Source organism: Homo sapiens, chromosome 1 (assembly GCF_000001405.40).
Source record: "Homo sapiens chromosome 1, GRCh38.p14 Primary Assembly".
Lineage (NCBI taxonomy): Eukaryota > Metazoa > Chordata > Mammalia > Primates > Hominidae > Homo > Homo sapiens.
In genome coordinates, this window is record NC_000001.11 from 234,805,279 (window position 1) to 234,831,223 (window position 25,945).

Here is a 25,945-nt window from a genome sequence, read left to right on the forward strand (position 1 = left end):
AGTCAACAGTATTGACGGTATCTCAGAAGCTGGGCATTCACAGACTTCGGGTCTCCCCTCACGGAGTCCATTGCCCTTCAAAGGACATGAACAGAGAGAGCTGACGTCAGAGAATGTGATCAGCTCTGGAAGATCAGGGCCAGTCTGTTGCCTGCTCCCACCCACATCTCCACCCTATAGCCTGGCATACTCAGCATCATCTCAAGGTGCCAGACAATCATCAGCAAAGCAAAACAAAAAGTGAACAACATTGGCACGTCCTGACAGTAAAAATGTCAGCTGAGGAATTTGGCCTCTTGTCTTTGAGACCATAAACAAGAGCACAGACTTTCAAGGGTCCCTCACGGTATCAGGGCTGAGTGCCTCTACCTCAGGGCCTCCCCTGCAGGCCACAGGCTTGCACTGAGGTGAGCTGGATCCAAAGGCAATGAAGGGTCAGAAGGAAAGAGGTCCTGTGGGCCTCTCTCAGCCTCTCCAGGTCAACCAAGAACTCACGGGAGCTTAAACAAAGGCCGAGGATGCTCTTGGCCTGGACCAGCCTCCGTGATTGAATGGGAAGGGCACCCTGCATTCTGGAGTTTCTGGACCACAACTTCCTTCCCCCGCTGTCTCCTGAGGGGCAACTTCCGGCCAGGTTCCAGAAGAGTCATGTTCAGGATCATGGAGAAGGACAGGCTCGAGGCTGGAGCCCACCCCCATGTGCCTTGGCCCTGCTCCAAAGCGTACCTCCACCCCTTCACCTCTCCGTTGCCATTTCTCCTGGGGACGAAGTTTTCCCTCAAATGGGTGCTCCTGAAACTGATTCACCCAAAGGATGTGGGAGGGCCTTGGAAGGGCCTTGGGTGAGAGGGCGTTTGGCTCCCCTGTAAAGGCTTCAGCAAGGAGTGAATCCTGAGACCATAGTGGGCAGGGGCGGGGGCAGGGCTGGCTCTTCCCTCTATGCCAAGGCACAGGAGAGCCTGTGTTTGACTGGGGTGTTTTCCCCGATGGTGGCCGAGCTGCCAGCAGTTCCTGCAAGACCCCACTTGATGAGGCAGGGCTGAGAGGAGGTGATTAGGAGGTGCAGATTTCAGGTTGGCGAGTGGCAAGTGGCAGAACATTCTGGCCCCTAAGTCCTCTTGTTGGCATGCTCGAGTGTCTTTTCTCCCAAAGAGCTCTTCCACGAGCATGTCCAGAGAGTGTCTGCCTGGCCCCATGACCAACTCTCCTTTGCAGCAGTGGAGAGGGGACAACTTCCTCCAGGGAGCTCAGAGGCTTTCCTGAGCCACCCCTAAAATGGCAGGTGCTCCTGGGACACAGTCTGTATCCTATGACCTCAGGTCACCACATCACACACAGGGCCTGTTCTGAACTCACCAGCTAGGCTTCCTTCGGAGCCACACACGCAGACAGTCTCCTCAGCTGGGAAATGCACCCCCAGAGAAGGCCAGGTGTGCACATGACAGGTAGGGGCTGGGGAGGAACCCCAGCTTACACCTTCACCATCAACCCAGGATCAACAATGTGGTAAGAGCTAGGGCCTTGGATGCAAGGAGACTGTGCTGGGATCTTCACAGCCACCTGACACTGGACAAGTGTCACCTCTTTGAGTTTCATCTGAGAAATGGAGGTGACGATGTGACAGTGTTGTTGTGAGGCTGGAGGAGGTACCATGTGTCCAGCATCTACCAGTGCCAGGGAGGTAGGAATTGCTTGAGAGATAATGGACACCGCCCTTACTCATGTGGGGAGAAACGGGAGAAGGTGGCAAGCCATACCCCAAGCCACGTGTAACCCTGATGTGTGGGGAGGCTTCTCTCTTGTTGTCCACTGCAGAGTGCACGACCCCGCCTTCATTTACCAAACCCCAAAGTATCCCTGCAGGCCCAGCTCCTTCTGTGCACCTGAATTCCTGGGGCAGAGCCCACGCCCCTCCTGCTGCTTCTGCTTTGGACACTGTGTGTTTGCATTCTGAGTGTTTGCATTTGTCTCTCCACCTGTCAGCAACTGCTTGGGGATAAGGATTCTGCCTTGCTCAGTGCCCCCTCCTCAGCTCCCGTCCCCTTCCCCGGTGCAGAGGTGCCCAGTGAACGACAATCTAGCCCTCAGCCCCGGCTCTGTCTCAGAAGGTGCCAGTAGCCCCAGGGGTGACCCAAGGCACGGAGGCACATCTGAGGAAGGCCGTGGCAACAAGGCAACTTCTTCTTTCCTCCCTCCCTGTCCTGGTCACTCACTCTTTTCATTCCTGTGGAGCGCTGATGGCTGGTGAGATCGTTGTTTGTCAGCCAGAGCACAGACGACATGCAGGAAGGGCAGACGATATGTCAAAGGTCACCCGCTAAACCCACGGCAGAACCAAGATGAAAATGTGTCACCGCCTCAAGTTCAGACCAGGGATTGGCCTACCCCACACGAGCTCCATGAACAACAGACAACCTCGCACCATTCAGAAAAGATGGTGGACGCTCCGAGTGCTCAACTCGGGTCACCTCCTTGGGCAAAGTGTCTTGTCTTTAAAACTGGAACCAAGCGAGGGTATGTCCAGTCCTGGCTTCAGCTGGGAGTGTCCTGGAAGGCTCTGCCTGACCCCACGTTGAAGTTAGGTTTCCCCGACTCTACCCTGTCACGTCTCCCTGTGGTTTTCTGTGACAGCACTTGTCACATAAATCAATGTCTGTTTTATTTGTAAAATTATTTGTTCAATGTCCAATTCTCCTCCACACTGATAGATAGGAGGACAGGGATGTATCCAAAGGGTTTAGCATACTACCGAGTGTATAATAAGCTCTCAGAGTATGCATCCAACAAGTAGTTATTAAGGTCTTCCACATGCAACATATTGTTCTTGGTGTTAGCAGACTAAAATGATACACAGGTGGATTGATGGAGAGCTTGTTAAAATAATACAAGACGCCAAACTGGGCTATGTGACTGCAATGCTTCCTATTGCTGCTGTAACCAATTATCAAATTTAGGAGCTTAAAACAACATCAACTGACTTGTCATGAAGGAAAAATCAGTCTCACCGGGCTAGGATTGAAGCGTCCAGCAGGGTCAGCTCCTTCCAGAGGCTCTGAAGGGAAAATCTATTTCCTTGCCTGTTCCAGTTTCTAGAAGCTGCCTGCTTTCCTCTTCTAGATCCTCCCTCCATCCTCCAACCCCTCGCGCTCTGATCTCTGCTTCAGCCATCACGTCTCCTTCTCTGACTCTGACCCTCCTGCCTCCCTCCCGTAAGGACCCTTGTGATTCTTAGAAGATCCATTCAGAGAATCCAGGATCATCTCATCTCAAATCCTGAATTTAAACACATCTGTAAAGTCCCTTTTGTCATGCAAGGTAACATAGTCACAGGCTCCCGGGATTACAGCACGGACATCTTTGAGCGCTCATTATTCAGTCTACCCTGGTGACTCATGGAATATGTCTTTTGGAATCTTTTAATGAGGAAGTCTTCCTAAACTGCAGCAGTCTCTTACTCTAAGCCTCAAAACGTTTTAGTCAATTCTGCACTCCACATTTTGGAATCACATCTTACCCAAATCAGAGATTTTGGGTTCTTGTCTGCTCAGCATGTTTACGACATGTGCGTGTGATATGACTACCCGCCTAGTAGCAAGGGGACCTCTCCTGTGGTGGGTTGAATTGAGTCCCCAGCCCCAAAAGATATGCTGATGTCCTAACTCTGATGCCTGTGAATATGACCCTATTAGAAAATAGGATGTAATTGCAGATGTAATCAAGTTAAAATAAGATCCTACTGGATTAGGGCAAGCCCTAAATCCAATGACTGGTGTTCTCACAAAGAGAAAAAGATTTGAATACGGAGACAGAGACAGAGACAGAGGGAAGATGGCCACACGACAGCAAAGGCAGAGACTGGAGAGATGCAACCGCCAGCCGAGAACTGCCAAGGACTGCTGGCAAGCGCCAGAAGCCAGAAAGCGGCAAGGAAGAAGTGTGGTCCTGCGACACATTGATTTCAGACTTCCAGCCTCCAGAAATGTGAGACAATACATTTCTGTTGTTTTAAGGCCCCCAGTTTGTGGTAATTTGTTACAGCATCCCCGGGAAATGAACACACCCAGTCCCCCTCCCCCGCCCCTACACCGTGGGTTCCCGTAAGCTCTCCCTGAAGACCTGCTACGGCAACTGCAGAGCACCCCTGTTTCCCAAGCTACGGCCCGTTTTTTTCACTGTCCCTGACACCGGGTGACAGGGAAAGGCTTTGCCATGGGAATGAACCATCCACTCACACTGCTTTCTGCAGACAGACTCAAAGTCACCACTGTGCAGTCAGTTTTTTCCTTGTTTCTTGGAAAGCACCTCTCAGGACCGTTTCAAGAAAAACAAATTGTGAGGTTAAGGATCTATTTAAAGTGAATCATCAGCTCTAGTTCCAATAACAAACCAGGCCAGTCGGGTCGCTAGGACAAGACTGGAACCACTGTGAGCGTGCACTAACTGTGGGTCAGGCATGAGCGGGTCTCTGCACCCACGTCACCTGGAGTGCCCCCTCCCCCTGTTCACTCGGCAGGCGGCCTTGGTGGCTGCCTTCCCAATCCTCTGCCCAAAAGGGACACAGAACTGCATGCTCACCAAGTAAGAATTTTCAAGCAGCTTTGAAGTACGGTTTACCATCTTGGTGAGCTTAAGAGGAACAGTTTGAACCCATTTAACCCCTTGCACTATTAATCCCCAATTGCTTGGTGAGAACTGGTTGTATGTGTGCAAAGCTCCCTGCTAGCCCTCCGGGAGCGTTGAGTCCTCAGAGTCCATGAGCAGCCTGAATCTGGATGCATCACAGATGCCTGTGTCCAGCTGGAGCTCAGAGGAAGCCAAGCACTTCTTTCATTTCAACATTCCTGACCTGTCTTCCCATAGGTGGTGGCAGTAGAATGAACCACTCATCAACTTTTTTTTTTTTTTGAGATGGAGTCTCGCTCTGTCTCCCAGGCTGGAGTGCAGTGGTGCGGTCTCAGCTCACTGCAATCCCTGTCTCCCAGGTTCAAGCGATTCTCCTGCCTCAGCCTCCCAGAGTAGCTGGGATTACAGGCACTCACCACCACACCCAGCTAACTTTTGTATTTTTAGTAGAGACAGGGTTTCACCATGTTGTCCAGGCTGGTCTCGAACTCCTGACCTCAGGTGATCTGCCCGCCTTTGCCTCCCAAAGTGCTGAGATTACAGGTGTGAGCCACCACACCCAGCCCACTCATCAAGTCTTTATTTGAGCACCCCTATATGCCAGGCACTGGCAATGCAGTGGTTAACCCATTTCTCCATGGAGCATCTGTTGAAGTGGGGGGAAGTAAAGAAAAGATTAAAACAAAATGTAAGCAGACAAGTAAATAAAAGAACTGTGGGCTGAAATAATTGTCGTAAAGAAACTTAGGAGCTAAAACAGAGAACAGACGAGGCCTGACTTTTCACCAGGTGAGCAGGAAATGGCCCTGTGAGGTTACACTCAAGCTGAGACCTAAAGGAAATGAAGGAGCCAGTCAGGGGAAGACTCAGGAAACAGTATTCCTGCCAGTAGAAGACCAGGTGCGAAGGTCCTGGGGCAGCAAAGAGCTTAGCCAGCATTCAAGGACCTGGAAGAAGACCAGGGTGACAGGAGAGTTGTGAGCACAGAGGCTCCCAAGCAAGAGGAGGCTGGAGAGGTTTGCAGGGGCCAAATCATGCAGAGCTTTACTCAAGCGTGGATTTTATTCTAAGTACAATGGGAAGCTCTTGAAGGGTTTTCGTGGTGTGTGTGTGTGTGTGTGTGCGTGTCTGTGTGTCTGTGTGTGTGTGTGTGTGTGTGTGTGCAGGGGAAGGGTGAAGGGATGACATAACATCATCTCCTCCTCTTTTCCCCCTCTTCCTCCTTCTTCTTCTTCCTCCTCTTCTTCTTTTTCTTCATCTTCGCCTTCTTCATCTCTTCCTTCTTCTCCTCTTCCTCCCCCTTCTTCTCAGACGTCCACTTTTGCAGCTATGTGGGGAGAGTTGATGTGAGGTAGGCAAGCTTGCAGGGGAAGGCCTTTTAGGAAGGATGTAGCAGGAACCTGGACTTGGGTCATGGCAGTCACAAGGGAGAGAAGGCGTGATCAGATATCTACTCCAGACGGGATTGATAGGATGTGCTGATAGATTGCAGGGAATGGGAGTGTTGGGGAGGGTCCTGGGTGACTGAGTGTCTGCTTGCTCTTTACAGGGGTTTCTGTCCCACCACAGAGTGGCATACCTGGCTCCTGGGCTCCTGGGTGACCCTAAGAAGCTGTCCCAAGATGACCATCAGGGCCCCTTCCATCCCTCACTTGGGTCTGGTGCAAGATGTCTCAGTGACTCTTACCTCTTGTGCAATAGGCAGTACTTTTTTCCAAATTTGATATTCTCCTTTGCATCTGACAGGGCCACTCTCCATTTCCTAATTACCGCAGAACAGTCTTGCCTGAAAGTGCCTTCCTAAGCTGGGGTCCTACCTCAGAATCAGTAGTGAGTTAGTAAATCAGATCTCTGGATGGTGAAAAATGAAACCCTAATTTGTAACATGTACCAATTTCTATGGTATAAATACCCCTGCCATGGCGACTTTGAAGCTATCAATAGTTAACCAACTCAAAAAAATCCTGAACAGCTAACACTTGGCTTTCACCAGCCTATAGGAGCCAGGCCTAGCTCAGTATCGCATGACTGCTGGCCTAGAACACTATGCCAAACAATTTCCTCCAGCTTCTCAAAATGCACAGTTGTCCAGCGTAGAAGCAGAGTATGCAGGAGGCTTGGTGAGCTGATGCGCTGAGTCCATAGGTCTGGGAATGAATCCAGTCAGTGACTCACTGCATGCTCAAGTGTGTCTGAATAGGTTAACTTCAAAACCAAACCGAATACTCAAGGCAACTTCTCTCTACTGGTGATGTAGAACAGCCTGGCAGAACATTCCCCATGGGTAGGTTTTGGGGAATGAATAGGGAGTCGGGAAATCTGGGTGACAACTCTGGGGCTGCTGCTAGTTGGCTCAGTGACCTCAGACATGTTGCCTGACCTCTCTGAGTCTCAACCTTCACATCCCCAAAATGAGAGGCAGATGATCTCTAATAGTCAGTCACTGAGTGTCTTCCAAGTGACAATCAGTGTCACTTGGTTAATGCAACACCAAGTTGCCTGAGGAACCTGTTTCTGACCCAGGCAACTATGCAGGTTGTGAAGCCAGAGGGGAGTTTGAGCACCAAGTTCAAGAAGGCAGTCTTGCAAGACTTTCCTCGAAGCAGCTCCTACAGACTGGCTCTTTCACCTTAAACGCCATAGTTTTGGATACAGGTAAGAGTCATGGGGACAGAAAAGGAAGGGAGACAGAGACAACCTGGGGAAGAATGATGACACTTGGTGACTGGAAGAGTATGGGAAATGCAGACAAACAAGAGATCAAAGAGAGCTCCCAAAGTTGTGCCAATGCCGTAGTTTCCCACACCACGCAGAACAGCAGGAGCAGCAGCTTTTGGGCTTCTCTGGCTGGTAGACTGTGTTTAATGACTGCAGAGGCTGCACCGTCCTAAGCTGATGAAGAACTTCCTAGAATGTCCCCTAGGACCCCTCCTATGAAATGGTACCAACACCACTCTGTGACTTTGTCCAGGGTCTGTGTGTGGCAAACACTGCCTACTGTGTGGGCCATGAGAGGCCATGAAGGGAGCTGCACAGACATCCCCCACCCACAGATCACAGACCACCCTCACGGACAAACATCCCCTTTGCCATTCATTCCATCTCCTCCCCAAGCACATCCTGAAATGCCTTCCTCATTCTATAGCAGGCATAGCTAATATCCTCTTTTATAACCCCAGTTCTCTCCATTCGAGGCCATATAGGTGAACATAGTTGAGAAGTCAGAGGAGGGGGCTGAGAAATGCTTAAATACCCGCAGAGCAAGGACCAGACCCTTTTCTTCCTTCCTTGTTCTCAGGCTTTTCTGCACGTACTGGGGGCATTGGCTGTTGACACGTGAAATATTGAGGCAGCCTTGTCTATGCGCTGGGCACTTTATTTGGGTGAATGTACCTTTTCAAAATCAAGATATTCTGGGGTTTTTAAAAAATAAAAAGTATGAAAATATCCCAAAACAGAAAAGAGTACTGAGGATAACCATATAAAAACAATTTAAGCTGAGAAAAATAACCCAGTCCTGTCGAGTCCTAAAGAGAACCTTGGTTTCCATGGGACGTTAGCAAAGTGCAGAGCTCCTAGCAGTGGGTAGGATGGAATGTTTGCAGCCTTTCCAAATAAGCAAATATCCCCCAGAATCCAGCATCCGTGCCCCACATGCTGTGGTTCCAATTTGCTTCCTGTTTTCAGGCCTCCCAGAAATACATCTCACAGACTTTTTATTTTCATCTCCCCACCTTGAAAAGCACAGATTTGCAAGTGTGAGTGTCTTAGCAGGGAGACAAATCCAGCAGGCATTCAAGACATTCAGGCAGGAAGAAATGCATCTCATCGGAAATTTTCCATCGCCAGCACTTTTTAAAAAATTCCCAATATAAATGGGCTTTTACTTGTAGGACGAAGGGCTCCATTATTTTTCAAATACTTTGCTGCTTCTAAGGAGCCAAGAAAATTGGTCATGCACCTGGCCAGCCGATCCAACCTCAAAAATCTTCTGACCTCAATGAAAAGGCTCTAATTTTTCCTTGCCTTTAATAAATGTTTCTTCTCTTCTCCCCAGCAGTATTCAGCATGTGGGGTGGGCAGGCAGGGTGCCCAGTTAATGTAAACAGGCAGGAACACCTGATTCATCAGGATTCTTCCCACTGCTCCAATCCAGGGGTCTCTGCTTCAGACAGAACCCCTAGGAAGAGAAGCATGTGACTTAGGACTTCAGGGGGACTCGAAGTGCAAATACATTATGGCACAGATTTAAATGTTTACCTGTATATGTGTATGTTAAAAAATCAATTTCTTAGAGATGGTTTGAAGGTGTCAGAAAAGCTAATTCAGGTAGAAAACATGTCCTTGCTCTGTAGATGCCTCCATTCTGTCTTCCAGAACCTGAGAGAGAAGAGCAAGGATTTGGACTGTGGCCTAGAGCGGGAATTTGCAGCTCTCTTTCCCAAGGAATGAATCGCAGCCCCTCAGGCTGGAACAGGCAGGTGCTGCGAAATCTGGCTGACAGGTCAGCTTCAAGGTGATGTGCTTGCTGAGTCTTCTCTCCTTTCAGCTAAGCTCTCATCACGCCCCTGGTGCCTGGTAAAAGTAAATAATGATGACTGAGCGTATGAAGCAGGAGGGTCTCTACACACCTGTAATTACTACCTAGCAAGTCCCTGCAGAACCCAGGAGTTCCCCCAGAGAGCCAGTGGGGCCGTTTCTGGAGAGAGTAAGTCAACGTGGGTCCTCCAGGCAAGATCTAGCTGGAGGAAGTAGAATTAAAACTTCTATCACTGGACGGATGTTTTGTCACTTGGCGGGAAAGTTCCAAGTCAAAGTTCCCAGTTTCCTAAGCTGTTATAAACCCGGTTGAAATGCTCACATACACCTGTGAGTGTCTCAAAACAAACAAAGCATAATCGCCTTAGAGCAGCACTGTCTCATAGAAATATAATGTGAACTACATGTTATTTAAAATTCTCTAGAAGCCACTTTTAAAAAGAAACAGATGAGATGAATTTTAATAATACGTTTAACTTAACCAACCCAAAACATTATCACTTCCTCATGTAATCAATATAAAAAATTGCTAGTGAGATATTTTACCAAGTCTTCAAAATCTGGATGTATACTACATTTTCAGCACATCTCACTGTGGACGAGGCATGCTTCAGGTGCTAAGAGCCACACAAGCTGTGTGCCATGTTGGACACTGCAGCCTTTGAGGCTGACATTTACACCTCACCACCTTTTGAGAGCACCTGATGCATGATAGATTTCCCACAAACATTTCATATAGAAGAGTGAACCTGTTATATGTGAAGTTTTACTTGATCTGAATATACTAGTGCTCTTAATAAAATAAGAATTACTAAAAAATTTCCTTTGAATAGTGCCAGGCGGGTCTGAAACCCAGCCTTGACTGATATTTTCATGTGCTGATAACAGCAACCAAAGTATCATGACTTCGGTTAATAATTGATTGCTCCTTGCAGGGGAAAAATAAATAAAACCGGAATCTGACTGCTCCACCCCTTAGGGCAGCTTACTAACGTCTGGATGAGCATGCTTGTGTTCTTGCACTCTCTGGGAATTAGACACAAAAACTGCCCTCAAGGACAGCACAGCCCAGGGACAGCCAGGCAGACCAATGCCTAATACTGCATGTGTGCAGGGGGTTGTGTTGGCAACAACATGAGTGGCTTCCTGGAGTGGAGGCTCCAGCTCTGCATCCTGAAGGGGGACTAGGAGGTCCTCAGGGAGGAGGGCAGGAAGGAAACATCCAGTGGAGGAAGCGGTAGGCACAGAAGTTTGCAGCCACTTGAAAAGCAGGGAGGCACAGGACCTTAGGACCCTTCTATAGTAGTCCCGTAAGCCCAGAGGGAACCATTTCACAGTGGGACAATCTATGGCAGCGTTGTCCGACCAAAATACTTGCAAGCCACATGTGTGATGGATTTCAGGAGCCACTGAAGGGTCAAAAGACAGAGATACAATTAATTGTAATGACCTGTTTTTAGCTTAACCCACGTTGTCCAAAGCTTTATCATGTCACCGTGTGAGATACCTCACGTTCTTTTTCATGAAGTCTTTGAAATGTGAGGTGTCCTTGACACCAAGAAGGCATGCATGAGTCTAGATGCAGTGTGTATATATAGTGAGTAATAACCTCTGCTCACGTTCCTGGGTCCAAAAGAGAGATCAGGACAGCTTCAAGGGAGAGGGCTAGGGATGAAAAAGGAGATAATGTCGCCCACCACTTCTGAGGGGACAACAGGCTGCGCCAGGCGCTGTAACCCGGGGGAAACGGAGGCAGCAGCTTCTCCCACGTGCTCCCAAAGGTGTCCGTGTCAACAGCATTAACTACCAAACAGAGCACTGAGGAACATTTGCTAAATGCTGCCAAGTGCCCGGACACCAGATCACAAGGCTGGCCCAGAAAAGAGCAAGTGCACCTGTGGGGGAGGAGGGCAAGTCCCCGTCGTCGGTCATCCCAGGTCACAGGGGTGCCTTTCCCTCCACTGCCAGGGAAATGCACATGCAGGCTGCCTAATGTGGAAATGTTTGGATCTGGAACAGAGAGGCTCTCAGGCCGGCGGGGAGGAGGCAGGGTGACAGTAACCAGCCGCACCGGAATGACGATGGGGAGCGCTGCACCTACGGCTTGCCAAGACCCCAGCAATATCTTTCCTAATAAGTCTAGCAGTGCCTGAGGCTCGCCTCCGAAGAACAGCCTCTCCCTTCCGCCTCTGTCTTCTTTAAGGGAGAGGGAGTGCAAGCCAAATCCAGCAAGCACTTGGACGCCGCCCTGCTCTCCCCGGGGCTCTGGGCTCTGCAACAGATCCGCTTTGTGAATGAAAGAGGCATCTCTCCAAGATGGCGCGCTCTACCCTGCGGGCACACCATGCACACGCCACTCCTCCAGCTGGTCTCGGGGACTGCAGTCCTTCTCTCCTGGATGGGTTGGGGGTGGGGGGCTGTTGAGAGCTTTCCTCCTCCTTTTCTTCTTCCTCCTCCTCCTGTCTCCCTAACCCTGGAAGGGGGCCATCCACTGAACTTCGGAAAGAGGTCACCCTCCCTGAAAGGGGGACTTGGATTGCTGCATCCAGAGCCACCCCCTGTGGTCCCTCAATCTAGCCACACTCAGTTGCTAAAGCAGGGAGAGGTTTCCTAGTCCGGTGTTCCGGCCCCACGCAAACGGAGCTCAGGATGACGCCACATGTGTGTTTGGGTCAAAGCGCTTTTAACTGTGGCTCCAAGAACAGCCTGTACAGCCACTTGAGTTTCCCAGTAAGAAGGAATGTACAATAGATGAGACTTTACTGGCAAAACAATTTTTAAAAGTAAAGGGAGAAGCAGCAGCCCAGCCTTGTCTCTTTATAGGGTCCTAGAGAACCGGTGGTGGCTGGGTTGAAAAGCACAGCGCTTAGCCATTCAGCAGTTTATGACCTCACCAGGTCCTTGTAACAAGGTTACCGGAGGGGTTTTGCAAGCTTCTAGACCCAGGTGTGGCTGAAGTTGAGCTGCTCAGGGACAGTGGTTTTCTTGCCACTGGGAGAAGGTTACCAAGAATAATTTTCCTGCCCCAGGACTTGTAGATGATTAACGTGTTTCTTTCGCTTAACCAGAGAGTTAATGGTTATTCAAAGCACTCTTTGATGATGGAGGGTGGAGGGGAGAAAATGAATGCGTTAACCATTAATCCAGGGAAATGCCATAAAAATTAAAATGGAAAACACTCAACCTGGGAAAGGAATTCACTGGCTGGAAGGGTCAGCCAGGCAAACCTGGTGAGGAAGGAGGAAGAGAGGAGGCCAGAGGGAGGCCTTACAGTTCACGTATACTTAGAGCTGGGTTTTGTTATTTTTTGTTCCGTTTCCTTGTTTCATTGCTCCGAGGAAACAGTAGAAATAACAAAATCACAAACATGGGAACATTACAAATAAAGTCAGTTTTATTGGTCTTTTTGCTCCAGCCTCCCACAGCTGAGCCTGTCTGACTTATCCCCTGTCTGACTCGTTCCCCGGCCTCTTTGGGGAGCAGGAGGGGAGCTCAGGCAATCCATGCTTGGAGAAAGTCGAGAGTGTTTTTAGGAGGCTGGTGCTGACAGAGGCATGCAGCTCTGGCTCCCGGCCTCTTCTTGGGGCCACACTGGCCAGCACCCAGGCACAGCCATCATGGCGCCTGCCCCAGTCACCCTGCTGGCACCTGGGGCAGCATCCTCAATGTCTTGCAGCCAGCCCGGTGCAATAAACAGGAAGACTTCGGGGAAAAACTCCTGCTTGGCATAGGCTACTCCCAGTCACCATCTGGGACACGTCATGATGAGCTATGAGCTGGCACCAGTGGGAATCTCTGATGAAGGATGGGACTCCCCGAAGCATCACACATGTGTGGAGCATTCTCTAGTAGGAAGACCTTTTTAGAGTACAAAGGCCAGATCCTGCCCTCAAGGGGTTTACAGGCCATTAGGGAGATAAAACAACCTAGGGCAAGTGCTGGAGATGCAGCATCAGCCAACTGCTGAATACACTCAAAAAAATGAGAGCCCACTGGATTGTCTGGGAGCCTCCTAGGAAAGCTGAGTCCAAGCTGGGCTGGGAGGTTGGATAAGGCTGTGGCCGGGAGAAAAGGGAGAGGCAAGGCAGAGAGAGAAAGGAATGGCAGAAATGTGTAAGGAAGAGACCTATTTGAAGAAGAGGAGAGAAAAGAAATTAACACTTGGAAGATAGGTTTGGGTCTGTCTGTGGGAGCCTCGTTGCCCAGCTGCATTTATACCCCATCACTGGCACTGTGGGGAGTTTTGAGAGGAGAGTGAAATTAACAAAGTGGGGCATGGGAGGAGGGGGGGTCATGAAGGATGAGAGCAAGCAAGTCACCATGTGGTTACAACAGTGACCCAGGGGTGCTCTCCAGGAACATGTGGGGCAGGGGAGCCCAGGGCAGGAGGAGGGCCCCGCTTCCTCTGTGCTCTAAAAAGGGAAGGGATCAAGGGGTGAAGATTCCAGCCCCTTTGGAAGTGGAGGAGGCTAGGGAAGAGCTCTTACTACAGGGAATCCTGTTCTCATGGACCTGGAGGCCAGGGCCTTTGCTGAGAACATGGCAGGGGAGGGCAAGGGCTCACAGAGGGAAAATTCAAAAACTCCAACAACTACTGGGAAGGAAGTGGAGTGAGGAAGGGATGAAGAGAGTGAATTTGTGGGTTCGGTGGACAAGGTTTTCTGGCTCTTCCTAGCATCCCAGGAGTTCAGAAAGCACAGGGTAAAAGCCACTTACTTTCTCCCTCTACCTTGATGGAGGGTTGACTATGGGCTAGTGCTGGTCTAGGAACTGAGGGGAGATGAAGGGCCTCAGATACATGTTCTCTGTCTTCACCAAGCTTGTTGCAGAGTGAAGGTAAGAAACATAATACAATTGCAATAAAGAGAAATGGACATGGGTCCTGCCCATTTGAATCAGAGATTGTTAGAAATACAGACTTCTGCCAACTGATTAAATCCCACCACCACCACCGCCACCATTATCAGAAACTTTCTTGGCACAGGGCACAAGCTTGTGTCTTTTTTTCAAGGCTAGTTCTAACACACGGTGTAACATCCATGAGTCAGATTGTCTTGGTTTCTATCCCAACTTTACCACTTACTGACTCTATGTGTGTGTGACTGCTCTTGCCTCAGTTTGTTCATCTAAAAAATAGGATAATAGCAGTACCTACTTCGTAGGATTAAATGTGATCTTTCTTATAAAGTCCTAAGAAACAGCCTAACACAGCAGGTGCTTAGTAACTGTTGGCTGTTCACTAAAGGGCATGACTAGGGTTGTGGTAGGGGAAAAACACGGTGCTGTGGGAATCCAGGTGGGGGATCTAACCTGGACCTGAGGGTCAGGGAAGGCTTTCTGGAAGAGGTGACTTCCAAGCTGAGACATGCAGGAGAGTGAGGAGTGAACCAGGTCGCATGGGTGAAAGCGAGAGTTTAAGCAGAGAGAACAGCAGGTGCAAAGTTCCCAGACAAGAGATCCAAAACCATGGAAGGGACTGACTGTGGTTTGGTGGGGCTGGAATGCAGGGCGAGGCAGGGCTGTGGAGGGGCAGGAGATGTCCAGATCCTGGAAGTGTTTGAATTCTATCCTGAGGGCCACAGGACGCTGCTGCAGGGCTTTAAGGAGAGAGGGATCTGATCTGTGATTTGAGGCATCCCTCTTGCTACGGTTTGAAGAGTCGGTTGAAGGCACAAGCCCAGAGCCAGAGGCGAGTGAGGAAGAGGTTGACATGATCCCAACAAGGGAGACAGAAGGTCTGAACTAGGAAAAGGGCTGTGGAGAGGGAGAAAGTGGGAAAACTGACAAGCACCTGGGTGGCCGATGGAAGTGGGGGGCTCAGGAAGATGAGCGTGCCAAGGGTGGCTCTGGACTTGGGTTTGAGCAACATTTCCACTGGATGGATGTTGAGAAAGGGAAGATGGAAATGGAGCACATTTGGGGAGAGAAATATAAATTCAGGTTTCAGTACATTGAGGTTTTTAGTGCGTATGAGATGTCCCAGTGGAGATGTCTGTCCACTGGGCAACTGGACATCAGGCTTTGGTGCTCAGGACCTATGGTGGGTTGTAAATATGTTTTTGGAAACCATGAGCATTTAGAGCTGAGGCTGGGAATTGACATAATGTTCAGTGAAGACTAGGAGATGCAGGAGGGGTTTCATAGGCTCAAGGAAACAGTATTGAAATGGGTGGGCCATGGGCCTACAGTGGAGTAGAGGATGGATAAAGTCAGACAGAGTTCTTGGCAAGTGGTGGAAGAGTTTGTAGTCAGACAGGGAGACCTCTGGGCCCAATATTTTTGAAGTGAGACAGTTCTGTGTGACTCTGAGCATAGCCATAGGCATAGCCATGTGTATGACCAAAGAAGGCAATGAGGAAGGCGAGTGGTCAGCTCAGGAATGGACACCCTGAGGCTGAAGACCCTGAGAATTCCCAGGAGATGCAGCAGAAAAGAAGAAGCTGGATGTGGGACTCACTGGGGAAGGTGAGGTATGTCCCTGTGTCCCAAGAGGAAGAGGGCAAGAATGAAGAGTGTACAAGAAATATGAATTGCCAAGAGACTCTAGACAGTGCAGGAACACAGCTGCAGAGGCCCCCTGGAGAGAAGCCCACCATCCTCCCCTCCCAGGGACTGACACGGCAAAGGTATAGATGGCTTTGCACCCATCCCCCACTATCTGGCTCCTGCAGGAACCCTGACCAGGGAAAGCTGACTTCAGAGAAGGCAAATATGCCAAAACCCATGTTACAGAGACATTCGCGTGGTATCTCACCTACTTGTGCAGGCAGAGAAAGACTTGGCATCTCTCCCAAGCTGTATTCTTGACTCACTCTATGAATGAGGGCCTCCGATTTTCCACCTATTAAATGGGATAATAATTCTTGACATCTACTTGCTTCACTTGAACACTATGAATATAAAATTTTTCCCAAGTGCTTTGAGCTCACATTAAAAGGCTCTACCTAAACATTAGTGCACTCACTGCTGGATTTTCTTGGACACCAATCAACTTAAGTGGATAATAATAAATTCCTCTGCCTATCTTTGTTGAGAGATTAAAAGAGGGAGAATCCCACAAGACCTTGCTTCTAGAATCCTCTGCTCTATAAAGTCTCTTAGGAAAGGAGTGTGAGGATGCACTCAGATGCAAGAGGTGTCTAGAATTGTTTGGTTTTAGAAATCTCCTTCCCTGAGCCATCTGGACTAAAGCATATGGCACAGAAGAATGAGGATGGAGTTGGGTAATACTTTGGGACCATGGGCAGACATAGAGTAGATTCCAGGTTCATTTACTCCCTCACGTGTTCATTTATTCCATACAATTTTGCAGAGCTTTTTTCATGGGCTTCCTGCAAAGCATCTAACCGCCAACCCCAGCGTCTGGTTGTCACTGTCTGGCCGCAGAACCAGCTTTCCCTGGCTGGACCTGTCTTCAGAGTCAGGTTGCTTGCCTTGCAGCCCCGCACCCACTCACATTCTCCTTGCTCTCTAGGTCCATGGGGTGAGATCGCTGACTGACAGAAGGAAGCTGTTCTCTGGGGTGTGCGTGACCCAAAGACCAATGGAGGGAGGAAGAATAGATGCTCCAAATGGCCACTGCACTTCTCCAATGTCTGAAGGTGAGATTTCCATAGGGGCGAGGTGTACAGTGATCTTGTCCAGCTAAAGTTTCCCACCTCCCTAAGGAGTTTGTAAGTTTCTCAAGCGTAACGATCTGAATTCTCTTATCCTGAAGGACTGTTCACACAGTAGGAATGTGTTGAATGCAACTGAATAAATGATTTAGGCCATAAATTTGAGGACTGGATCATTCCCTTTAAGCTCCTGGTGGGTTAGGCAGATGCCAGAGAGGCTTCCCTTGTTCTTCCATAATATGTTGGCTTGCAGTTCTTTATTTTAACTAAAAGTGAAAGGCACAGATCAGAACAGCAACAAAGATGCTGCCCTTGAAGACTCAATCCTGTTAAATTCACCCCAAGCAGTGCCTCGTTTAAATGGGCTGCCACTTACCAGGGTTTGTAAAACCAAGTTCAGAAAGAACCAGAATGGAAATGCCCCCTCGGATCCTGAATTTCTTCCTTTCCCGCTCAGGGGTTTAAAGAGGCCCGACACTGACAGAGCTTTCGAAGCCTTTCCTGCTCTCTGGGACTCACCTGAGTTTAGTCACGTTTCTGTTGGCGTAAGGAAAAGCATTTTGCAACCACATCCACCCAATGATAGGATGGGAGGCCTCTCCACATAGTGAGGGTGGACCCTGTGTTTGCTGCAAAGGCTGTGCCACTGTCCACGTGGGATGCTGTAAAAGGGACTTCCACCTGGGTGGGCGGTGACATCAGCAGACCCCTAGGGTCTTTTCCAACTCAAAGCTTCTTTAATCATATGGTTTCAAGGCCAGGCACGGTGGCTCACACCCGTAATCCCAGCACTTTGGGAGGTCGAGGTCAAGAGTTCGAGACCAGCCTGGTCAACATGGTGAAACCCTGTCTCTACTAAAAATACAAAAATTAGCTGAGTGTGGTGGCTTGCACCTGTAGTCCCAGCTACTCGGGAGGCTGAGGCAAGAGAATTGCTTGAACTTGGGGGGCAGAGGTTGCAGTGAGCCTAGATCATGCCACTGCACTCCAGCCTGGGCTACAGAGACAGACTCCATCTCAAAAACAAAAACAAAAACAAAAAAAAAATCCTATGGTTTCAGGTAATGGGACTCTGGAAAGAATGGTGGCAGGACATAGGCTCTGAACCTGCAAGAAAGAATGATGGCTTGAGAAACAGAATTGATTTGATGTTGGGGGCCATCCTTACTAACAGGTCCCCCATGAGCAAGCTAATCCAATTCACGAGACAGAAGCTGGTCATTTGGATAGCTAAAAAAAAAAAAACCATCAACCATGACCCAGTTTCAGTGACAGTGCACAGTAATGGCCTCAATTAGGCGGAAATTGCTGGCGCTCCTGTTCTGCTTCTCCATGCTCATCCTCCTGAGCACTTTGCACCTTGATGGCGATGTGCGGTTGGTACACAATGTGTGTGAAAGGCGCTGGCATAAAAGTGGTTTTATGGCTGTAGCTTGGGTTTGTAAGCAGAGCAAACAGAAAAAAAACTCAGGAATAAAAGGGGCAATAAAATAATTACATAACGCTTTGAACTCACACTAAATACCACCTTTATTTCAAAGCTCTCAATGTGTTTTACAGGCAAGTTTAGAACTGTAGTCGAATCCCCTTTTATCACAGAGGAAACTGAGTCACTGTGCAGCGAGGGCTGGAGGGCATACAGGGTTTGTTACAAGGGAGGACTCTCGGAGACACCCCCAATAGAAGCCCTTCAGGGAGCGGGCCAGCGGGAGAGCACCCCCGACCACACCTTTGTTCTGCATTTATATGTACAGATTCTTATCCCTACGTATAAATTCTACCCACACATCCCGAGCCATGTCTGAGCCCCTTGACTCTGGCATTAACAATAGGAATAACAACACTTACCAGTTTTGATGCCTACCATACATCAGGCACTGCTTCCCCTACACCTCACTACCATCTGTGAGGTTGCTGTTATTATCCTCATTGTGTAAATGGAGACAATAAGAGGTTCAATGCTCTGGCCAGGTGACACCCCACACCCTCCAGCCCCAAACACACACACACATACCAGAGGTGGCCTCAGAGCACACACTTTCCTTACCACGGACACCTGCTTCCAAAATTAAAGAACCAGATTAACATTTTTCCAAAGAAGCCAGAAACTTCTATTTATCCCTCCAGTCTTCATTTCAGAATACGGAGAAGACCAGGACAGATTCTGACAGGCTTCCCTTAGAGTTGAAGAAAACAGTTTGGAAGACAAACAGCTAAAAAAAACAAAACCATGAGGTGAGCTGGACAGGCATTCTAAGATCTTAACTGTAAAGAGCTCCATAAAAGTTATAAGAGATTGTTAAATAATGGAGAGAATTCCAGAACTCCAAAAATATTACTATAGAGTGTTCAAATGAGGAAGAAGAATTTTTTTTTTTTTTTTTTTTTTGAGATGGAGTCTTGCTCTGTCACCCAGGCTGGAGTGCAGTGGCGCGATCTCGGCTCACTGCAAGCTCCGCCTCTCGGGTTCATGCCATTCTCCTGCCTCAGCCTCTTGGGTAGCTGGGACTACAGGCACCCGCCACCAAGCCCAGCTAATTTTTTTGTATTTTTAGTAGAGACGGGCTTTCACTGTGTTAGCCAGGATGGTCTCGATCTCCTGACCTCGTGATCCGCCCACCGAAGAATTTTAAAGTATTTATTGTTCTTAGATTTTGTGTGTGTGTGTGTGTGAGTGTATGTGTGCTTACTATTCAAAATTTGAAAACCGTCCCATTGAATGTATTTTAATTGTCTAATATGGGAACAACTCAAGAGTGACAAGATTACATGTCACTGACACAAGAACTACCCACTGTGGATTCTGCGGGACTCAATCACTCCTTCTAGGGCATGGCCACAGACCCCCCTAGCTCCAAGGGAACTCTGGCTAGCTACTCATCAAACCCGCTTCCCTTTCCTCCTGGGCAAGCTGGGCTCTATTTCCCAGGCTATTTGCAGTTGAGCATAGCCATGTGACTGGGTTCCGGCCAATTTTCCCTCTACCAGCGATCTGTAAAACTTCCTGGGCCGGTCATGGTGGCTCACACCTGTAATCCCAGCACTTCGGGAGGCTGAGGTGGGTGGATGACCTGAGGTCAGGAGTTCAAGACCAGCCTGGTCAACATGGTGACACCCTGTCTCTACTAAAAATACAAAATTAGCCAGGTATGGTGGCGCATGCATGTAATCCCAGCTACTTGGGAGGCTGTGGCAGGAAAATCGCTTGAATCTGGGAGGCAGAGATTGCAGTGAGCCGACATCTCGCCACTGCACTCCAGCCTGGGTAACAAGAGTGAAACTCCATTTAAAAAAAAAAAAAAAAGAGCTTCCTGGGCAATTCTCCACTGTCTTTCACTACCATCTGTCTCCTGGAGGTCAACACCTGGGGGATCTAGAAAACATACATCAAGGACGACAGAGCCTTCATCTGCCTGGAACATGAGGGGCTGGTTGGAACAGGACCCCTTTCCCATTCCCTGCTGCTGATTAAATGTGACTGATTTGGTGTTGAGAGCCATCCTAACTAATAGGTCCAACATGTGCAAGCTAATCCAATTCATGGGGTAGAACCTGATCATTTGATTGCTTAAAAAAAAAAAAAACTAACCACAGAACAGTTTCAATGACAGTTATAACATGTTATAAAATGTTATAATAGCCAGCATTCCCTTCACTAACAGAGTAATTTAGAGATAAGAATCTACCCTCTCCAGGAAGGTGAAAAGTTTCATGATCTTCTCCCCCCATTGCACAGTAGAAAGAAGCCAGAGGTGCAGAGATACTCTGTCATTTTCTTTGTTGAATTGGTGGACTGTGATAAAACTCAGCTTCTTCAGTACCCTTTCTGGAGGCTCTAGGCTGAGGATGACAAATTGGTTTTGTCTTGAAGCCACCTGCAAATGATTGCTAGTCACTGCCTGCACTGAGACGGATTCTGAGGCCAAGTCGAGGCTTAGCAGGAAAGAATACTGTGACCTACACGCCTTCTCAGCCAAACGCACAGAACAGGAATGGCCACATATGTGCTCGTGTCAGCCAGTGTTCCTGGGGGCTTGTCCACGGGCAGATTCCTTCATAATCCCTTGGGATGCTTGCAATAATTCCATCTCCGAGCCCTCACCCTCACCCTCTCAAGGTTTACTGAATTAAAATCTTTGGGCGTGGACCCTGGAAATCTGCAGTTGTCTCGACTTTTTGTGGAATTTTGATGTAGAGTCAGCTTTGGAAACCACCTAGGAGCCTGTAGGCTCCTGCACGGGCACTGCAGCAAGGTAGCAGCAAAGGTGGGCTGTCTTTACCACCAAGACCGGGTAAATTAGGGATAATAATAACACCTGCCTCATAAGGATGGTGGAAAAATTAAAGGAGATTTTACATAATAAGCACTCAACAAATATTAGCTTTTATTATGTTATCTTCTTCTAAGAGTCTGTAAGAGGCCTTTTGCCCACGGCCATGAGCACAGGTAAAAACACCGTTTTCTAAGATTTCCAGATGGACAGCACCATCACATGCCCACATAGCGTGGATACAGCAACATCCAGGGCTCGGGCGCGGGCATAGTGTTTGCTCCCTATTTACGGCTGTAAGCAGCCTCACCTCAGCTTCACATCCAAGCTGGCTAAGAACCCTGGACAAAGAGAATCTGTTGAGAGGAGCTTAGAGGAAGACAGGAGGTGAGTACACAGAGATGCTGACTTAGTCAAGACCATCATGGTTACAGTGCCGGGCAGTGCTGCTGGTAATGGTGACAGTGGTACAGGTGGTCTCAATGTGATGTGATAGTGGCTTGCCAACCGATATTGTTGATGTGGGTTCAGGGCTGCAGGAGAACAATGAGCTAGACCTTCCTCTAGCCTCACATCCTAAACTTTACTGCCTTTCTTTCTTACGGCATTTTCACCATCTCTGTTTATCAATGGTCACACCCTAGCTCTGGGTGCTCATCTCTCAATAATATGATGAGAGAGGATGGAAAAGGAAAATCTCTCTCATTTTCCAACTCATACCCATGAAGATACAAATAAACAAAACTCCTGACTCTTGTGAATGTCACCAAGAAAAAAATTAGTTGGAAGACTAGCCAGTAACTCACAAGTCAACCCAGAAGTTTCTGGACATGAACAGGAAGCAAAGCATACCAGGGGTTGGCAGCTTTCACCACAGCTGAGCTCTTGCACTGTCCAATCTGATGATGAAGTGCTTCCCTGAGACCCTGGCCATCCTGCCAGCCCCATGGCACCACTGCTAACAGGTGCAGGATGCTGGGACCTCCACCGCCCACCTTCTGCTCAAGTCTCCAGTGTCCCTGGGCTGATTCTCCTCACTCACTGCTCACTTGGTCCAGCTGGCCAAGCTTGGATCCTGTGTCCACACCCCACTGCCAGGGGTCTAGGAGAGCTAGTAGCCAGCCTATCCTGTTTCCCTGGTGGATGGCAGAGTCCCAACATAAGAAGTGGGTTCAAATGCAAGGCAGCCAAAAAACCAGGAAATATTTAGTTCACTCACCTAATCCTGGTTATTTTCAGCTGATCAACAAACAGAAAAGCAGAAAACCCCAAATTTGACTGCTCTATCTGCTTATCCTTCTGTGAGCCCTTCTAAGCAAGCTTTGGAGAAGAGCCCCACATGCAGCTGTGGGGTTTAATTAAATCCTGTTCAGGAGGAAAAGATAGAGGTGGTTGTCAGGCATGTGGCTCAGTTGACTATTCAGAGTTGGAGTCTTTGCTTTTGGGCGGTGAGGTCTCAGGAGCCAGGGGACCTCGGCCAGTCCCAGTGAACTGAATGAAGGGTCGCTAGCAGAAGCAAGAGGCGCCATGGGGCCCCAAGAAGATCAGGAGCCTGGACGTGCCTAGTTCCAGCATATTCTGTGGAGCCGTTCACCAGCCAAGGAGCCGGGAAGTCTGGGTTCCAGCCCAGCCCTGCCTTTGCTCCTGGCATAACTTTGAGCTGATCTTTCAACTTTTGTGACTCAGTTTACTCACTTGCCAAATGGAGATAATCATATGGCACTCAAAAGACTTTTGTAAGACTCTAATGAGTGTTTATAAAGCACTTTGGAGAGGTTTATAGTTATTTGAGCTGGGAAAGGAATTACAAATTATTCAGAAGTAAACAGTATTTAGAATCTGAATTTTTCAGCCACCAACAGGTTTTCCTAGATGTTTACAAGACTGTCATAATAGGACACCCTGGGGTTCCATCCATGCCAGTTGGTTTCATTCAGAGCAGCCCTCCTCCCTGAAAAGCGTGGCACAGGCTTGGGGAGGATCATGCAACCACGTATGGCACATTTTGCAGCTCTCAAGACAAGAGAATGACTGGATTTAGAAATGGAAGCCACATGCTCAAGACTTTCATTTTCTTTTCTCTTTTTTTCCTTTCTTCATTTTAATTTTACTTTTAGAAACTGGGGATAGCATCAGAGCAAGTCTCCATAGACCTGCTTTGAAAGCCAGATAGCCTGGCATGGTTGCATGCACGTATAAGCTCAGCTACCCTAGAGACTGACGTGGGACGATCAGTTGAGCCGGGAGGTCAAGGCTGCAGTGAGCTAGGATGGCGCCACTGCTCTCCAGCCTGGGCAACAGAGCAGGAAGACCCTGTCTCAAATAAATGAATAAATGAATGAGTAATAAATAAATGCTACATAAACCTGATTTCTCCCCAACAATAACACCTCTTCCCAAATTGAATGTCTGCTATCCCTACCTCCATGAGAATTTGCGCGGCATGTGACAGTAACAGATACCCATTCACAAAGAAACACATTTCATTCCCACAGGAGTTTGGAATTTTAAAACATAGAGTACTTGTGTGTAAGGAGAAAAATAATAACATCTGCTGAGTCTCCATGTGGAGTGTTGTCCTCCACGCTTCCACTTGCCTTTTCTCTCCCTTGTTTGCACAGTAACACTGTGAGGGTCGCTAGATGTTCCCATCTCCAGTTTACAGAGGGGACACTAAACCTAACAGCAGGAAGCTGCCCAATGGCAAAGGCATGTACCCGGTCAGTGTGCGGCGGAGCATACGTGCATGCCTGGGCATACCCTCTTCTGCTTCCGTGTTGTTGGTGCTGCTGCACCATCAGCAGCTGTACCTAGTTACTAAACACGCGAGTGCTGTACAGGTATCCCAAACTCTGCCATAATCCCTTGCCCAACCGCCAGGACCCTGAGCCACCAAGCACAATGAAATAGGTAGGATGTGGAGGGCAAGAGAGAAAGGAGGAGTTCGACGTGAAAGTTGGTGGTCTCTGGCTGGCTGTCCTTGGGTTGGCCAGAGGAGAGGGAGGGGCAGCAGGAAAACAAGGGCTCCCTGAACTTTTAATTTTGGTAGAAGAGCTCAACTCAGTTCTTGTTTTACCCTCTGTCTCAAAGACCAGCCTGATCCTGCAGAACCATTTGCTGTTGGATTCCCCAGTGAACACCAGCCATGAAACCAGAGCATCTGAGTTTCCTCCTAAATCATTTCCATGAAGAGGGGTGGCCTTCCCACTCCCGATCCACACTCAGAAGAATTGATAGGAAAAAGGGACCCATTTTCTCTGGAGATAGCCTCCCTGTCGTCAAATCATTTTCACGTCTATGATTCCATCTCAGCCTGAAAGAGCAGGAAGTCTTTGAAAAGAGAGAGGGGACATCATCAGAAGGAACCAGGTTCAGAGAGTTTCCCACAAACCACTCAGCCTGGCCCTCAACACCTACCCCAAGATGGCAACAAATCTCCATGCCTGCCATAGGTTGGCCATTCAAATTCACTCAACAAACCTGTCCTTGGAATCCCTACCATAGACTCGCTGGGAGGTTTACAGCAAGATGTGAAGGAATTGTCCCTGGCCTCCCACAGATTATAATCTAGAGAGGTAACAGAAAAACGGTATTGATTCCAGAAAACTGCATTCAAGGAGATGAATAAAGGACAATGGAAGAAAGTCAACTCTTCACTAATCAAACAACCATAGGTTTTCAGCTCCAGGTGCTGGTTCTTCCATCTCTGCCTGGGATGTCTTCCTGCTCCAGGTCGCTTTGTTTTAAGTCTTCCACACCCTCCTGGTGTATCACAGACGATACCTCCTGCAGGAAGCCTTGCTTGATGCCTCCATTATCTCTCTTTCTCTCTCTCTCTCTATCCTTTGAACTCCATGGTTCTTAGCTAGTATCTCCCTGATGACACCTTGTATTTTCCATCCACATAATTTCCACATCTGTCTTAATGCCCACGTGGCTCTGTACCCCGCCTAAGGGCGGGACTACATCCTGTACATGATAGGTGCTCAATCAATATTTGTGGGATTTCATTAAATCCTGTTGAAAATCTTAACAAGTAAAATAATGAGGACCTGTAGTTATATTTGCTGGATTTAAAAGAGTCCTATAATAGTGTATAGTTAACTTTAAAAAGCAGATTATAAAATAGAATATATAGGACAACTCTGATTATGTGACTATAGATGCATCTTGTTGCAATCAGGGTCCTGGCTAAAAGCAGAATGTATCAAATAGGGTCCATAGGAAGAAGCTTTAGTGAAGGGACCCCTTCAAGAGCTGTGTGCAGAGTGAAGTGAACAGACAGGAAGGTGACACCCAGGCTAGCAAGGCGGGGCTCCCAGGACCCCATACCCATGAAGAACAAAGCAGGTGGAGAGAGTTTCTGGGGCCTGGCTAGGACTGGAACCATGCAGGGTGGGGGGCGGTGGTGGAAACTGAAGCCAGGAAGGACAAGCAGCCTCAGAGATGAGCACGGACAGAGAGACAAGTGCAGACACAGAGACGAACGTGGACACAGGGAGCGGCTGTCTCAGGATTTCTCTCTCTGCCCACAGGCTTGACTCCTGCAGGTGCCTCTCATCAGCTGAACTCACAGGAAGCCAGGGGCCAAAGGAACCTGGGTAATTCCCCGAGGGGGTCAGCCTCCCAGGCACAGCGGAAGGCAAAGGATGGCTCCATGGCGAGGGCAATGGATACTTACACATAACACACTCAGGAGAACCAGGAGGGCGTGCTCCAGAGGTGCACGGAGACGCGATTAGGAGGGACAGCCAGCTTTTTCCTTATCTTTTTCATTTTGTTTTGTTTTTAGAACAAGCATATATTGTTTCTATAATCAAGGGGAAAAATGGGTTTTCCATTCAACACTCTGACCTAGAAATTCATGCAGGAGAAAAAATAAAAAGGCATATTGAA

The 25,945-nt window shown here is 48.6% G+C and overlaps 1 long non-coding RNA gene across 2 annotated transcripts in view, besides 4 other annotated features; it reads right to left on the minus strand.

Annotated features, from left to right (window-relative positions):
- Positions 945-1,527: an enhancer, noted in NCBI's record as "H3K27ac-H3K4me1 hESC enhancer chr1:234941970-234942552 (GRCh37/hg19 assembly coordinates)". NCBI's record gives its function as "activates a minimal SCP1, AML or CMV promoter by ChIP-STARR-seq in primed H9 embryonic stem cells {active_cell/tissue: H9 hESC(primed)}" and the evidence as "EXISTENCE:reporter gene assay evidence [ECO:0000049][PMID:30033119]".
- Positions 1,528-2,111: an enhancer, noted in NCBI's record as "H3K27ac-H3K4me1 hESC enhancer chr1:234942553-234943136 (GRCh37/hg19 assembly coordinates)". NCBI's record gives its function as "activates a minimal SCP1, AML or CMV promoter by ChIP-STARR-seq in primed H9 embryonic stem cells {active_cell/tissue: H9 hESC(primed)}" and the evidence as "EXISTENCE:reporter gene assay evidence [ECO:0000049][PMID:30033119]".
- Positions 7,558-25,945, minus strand: part of LOC107985365 (uncharacterized) — a 63,991-nt gene continuing 45,603 nt past the window's right edge. For both annotated transcript variants that reach the window (XR_001738533.2, XR_001738534.2), the window contains exon 3: positions 7,558-9,198. This is a non-coding gene — a long non-coding RNA (uncharacterized LOC107985365). The remainder of the gene's footprint in view (positions 9,199-25,945) is intronic.
- Positions 10,798-11,299: an enhancer, noted in NCBI's record as "H3K4me1 hESC enhancer chr1:234951823-234952324 (GRCh37/hg19 assembly coordinates)". NCBI's record gives its function as "activates a minimal SCP1, AML or CMV promoter by ChIP-STARR-seq in naive and primed H9 embryonic stem cells {active_cell/tissue: H9 hESC(naive and primed)}" and the evidence as "EXISTENCE:reporter gene assay evidence [ECO:0000049][PMID:30033119]".
- Positions 11,300-11,799: an enhancer, noted in NCBI's record as "H3K4me1 hESC enhancer chr1:234952325-234952824 (GRCh37/hg19 assembly coordinates)". NCBI's record gives its function as "activates a minimal SCP1, AML or CMV promoter by ChIP-STARR-seq in naive H9 embryonic stem cells {active_cell/tissue: H9 hESC(naive)}" and the evidence as "EXISTENCE:reporter gene assay evidence [ECO:0000049][PMID:30033119]".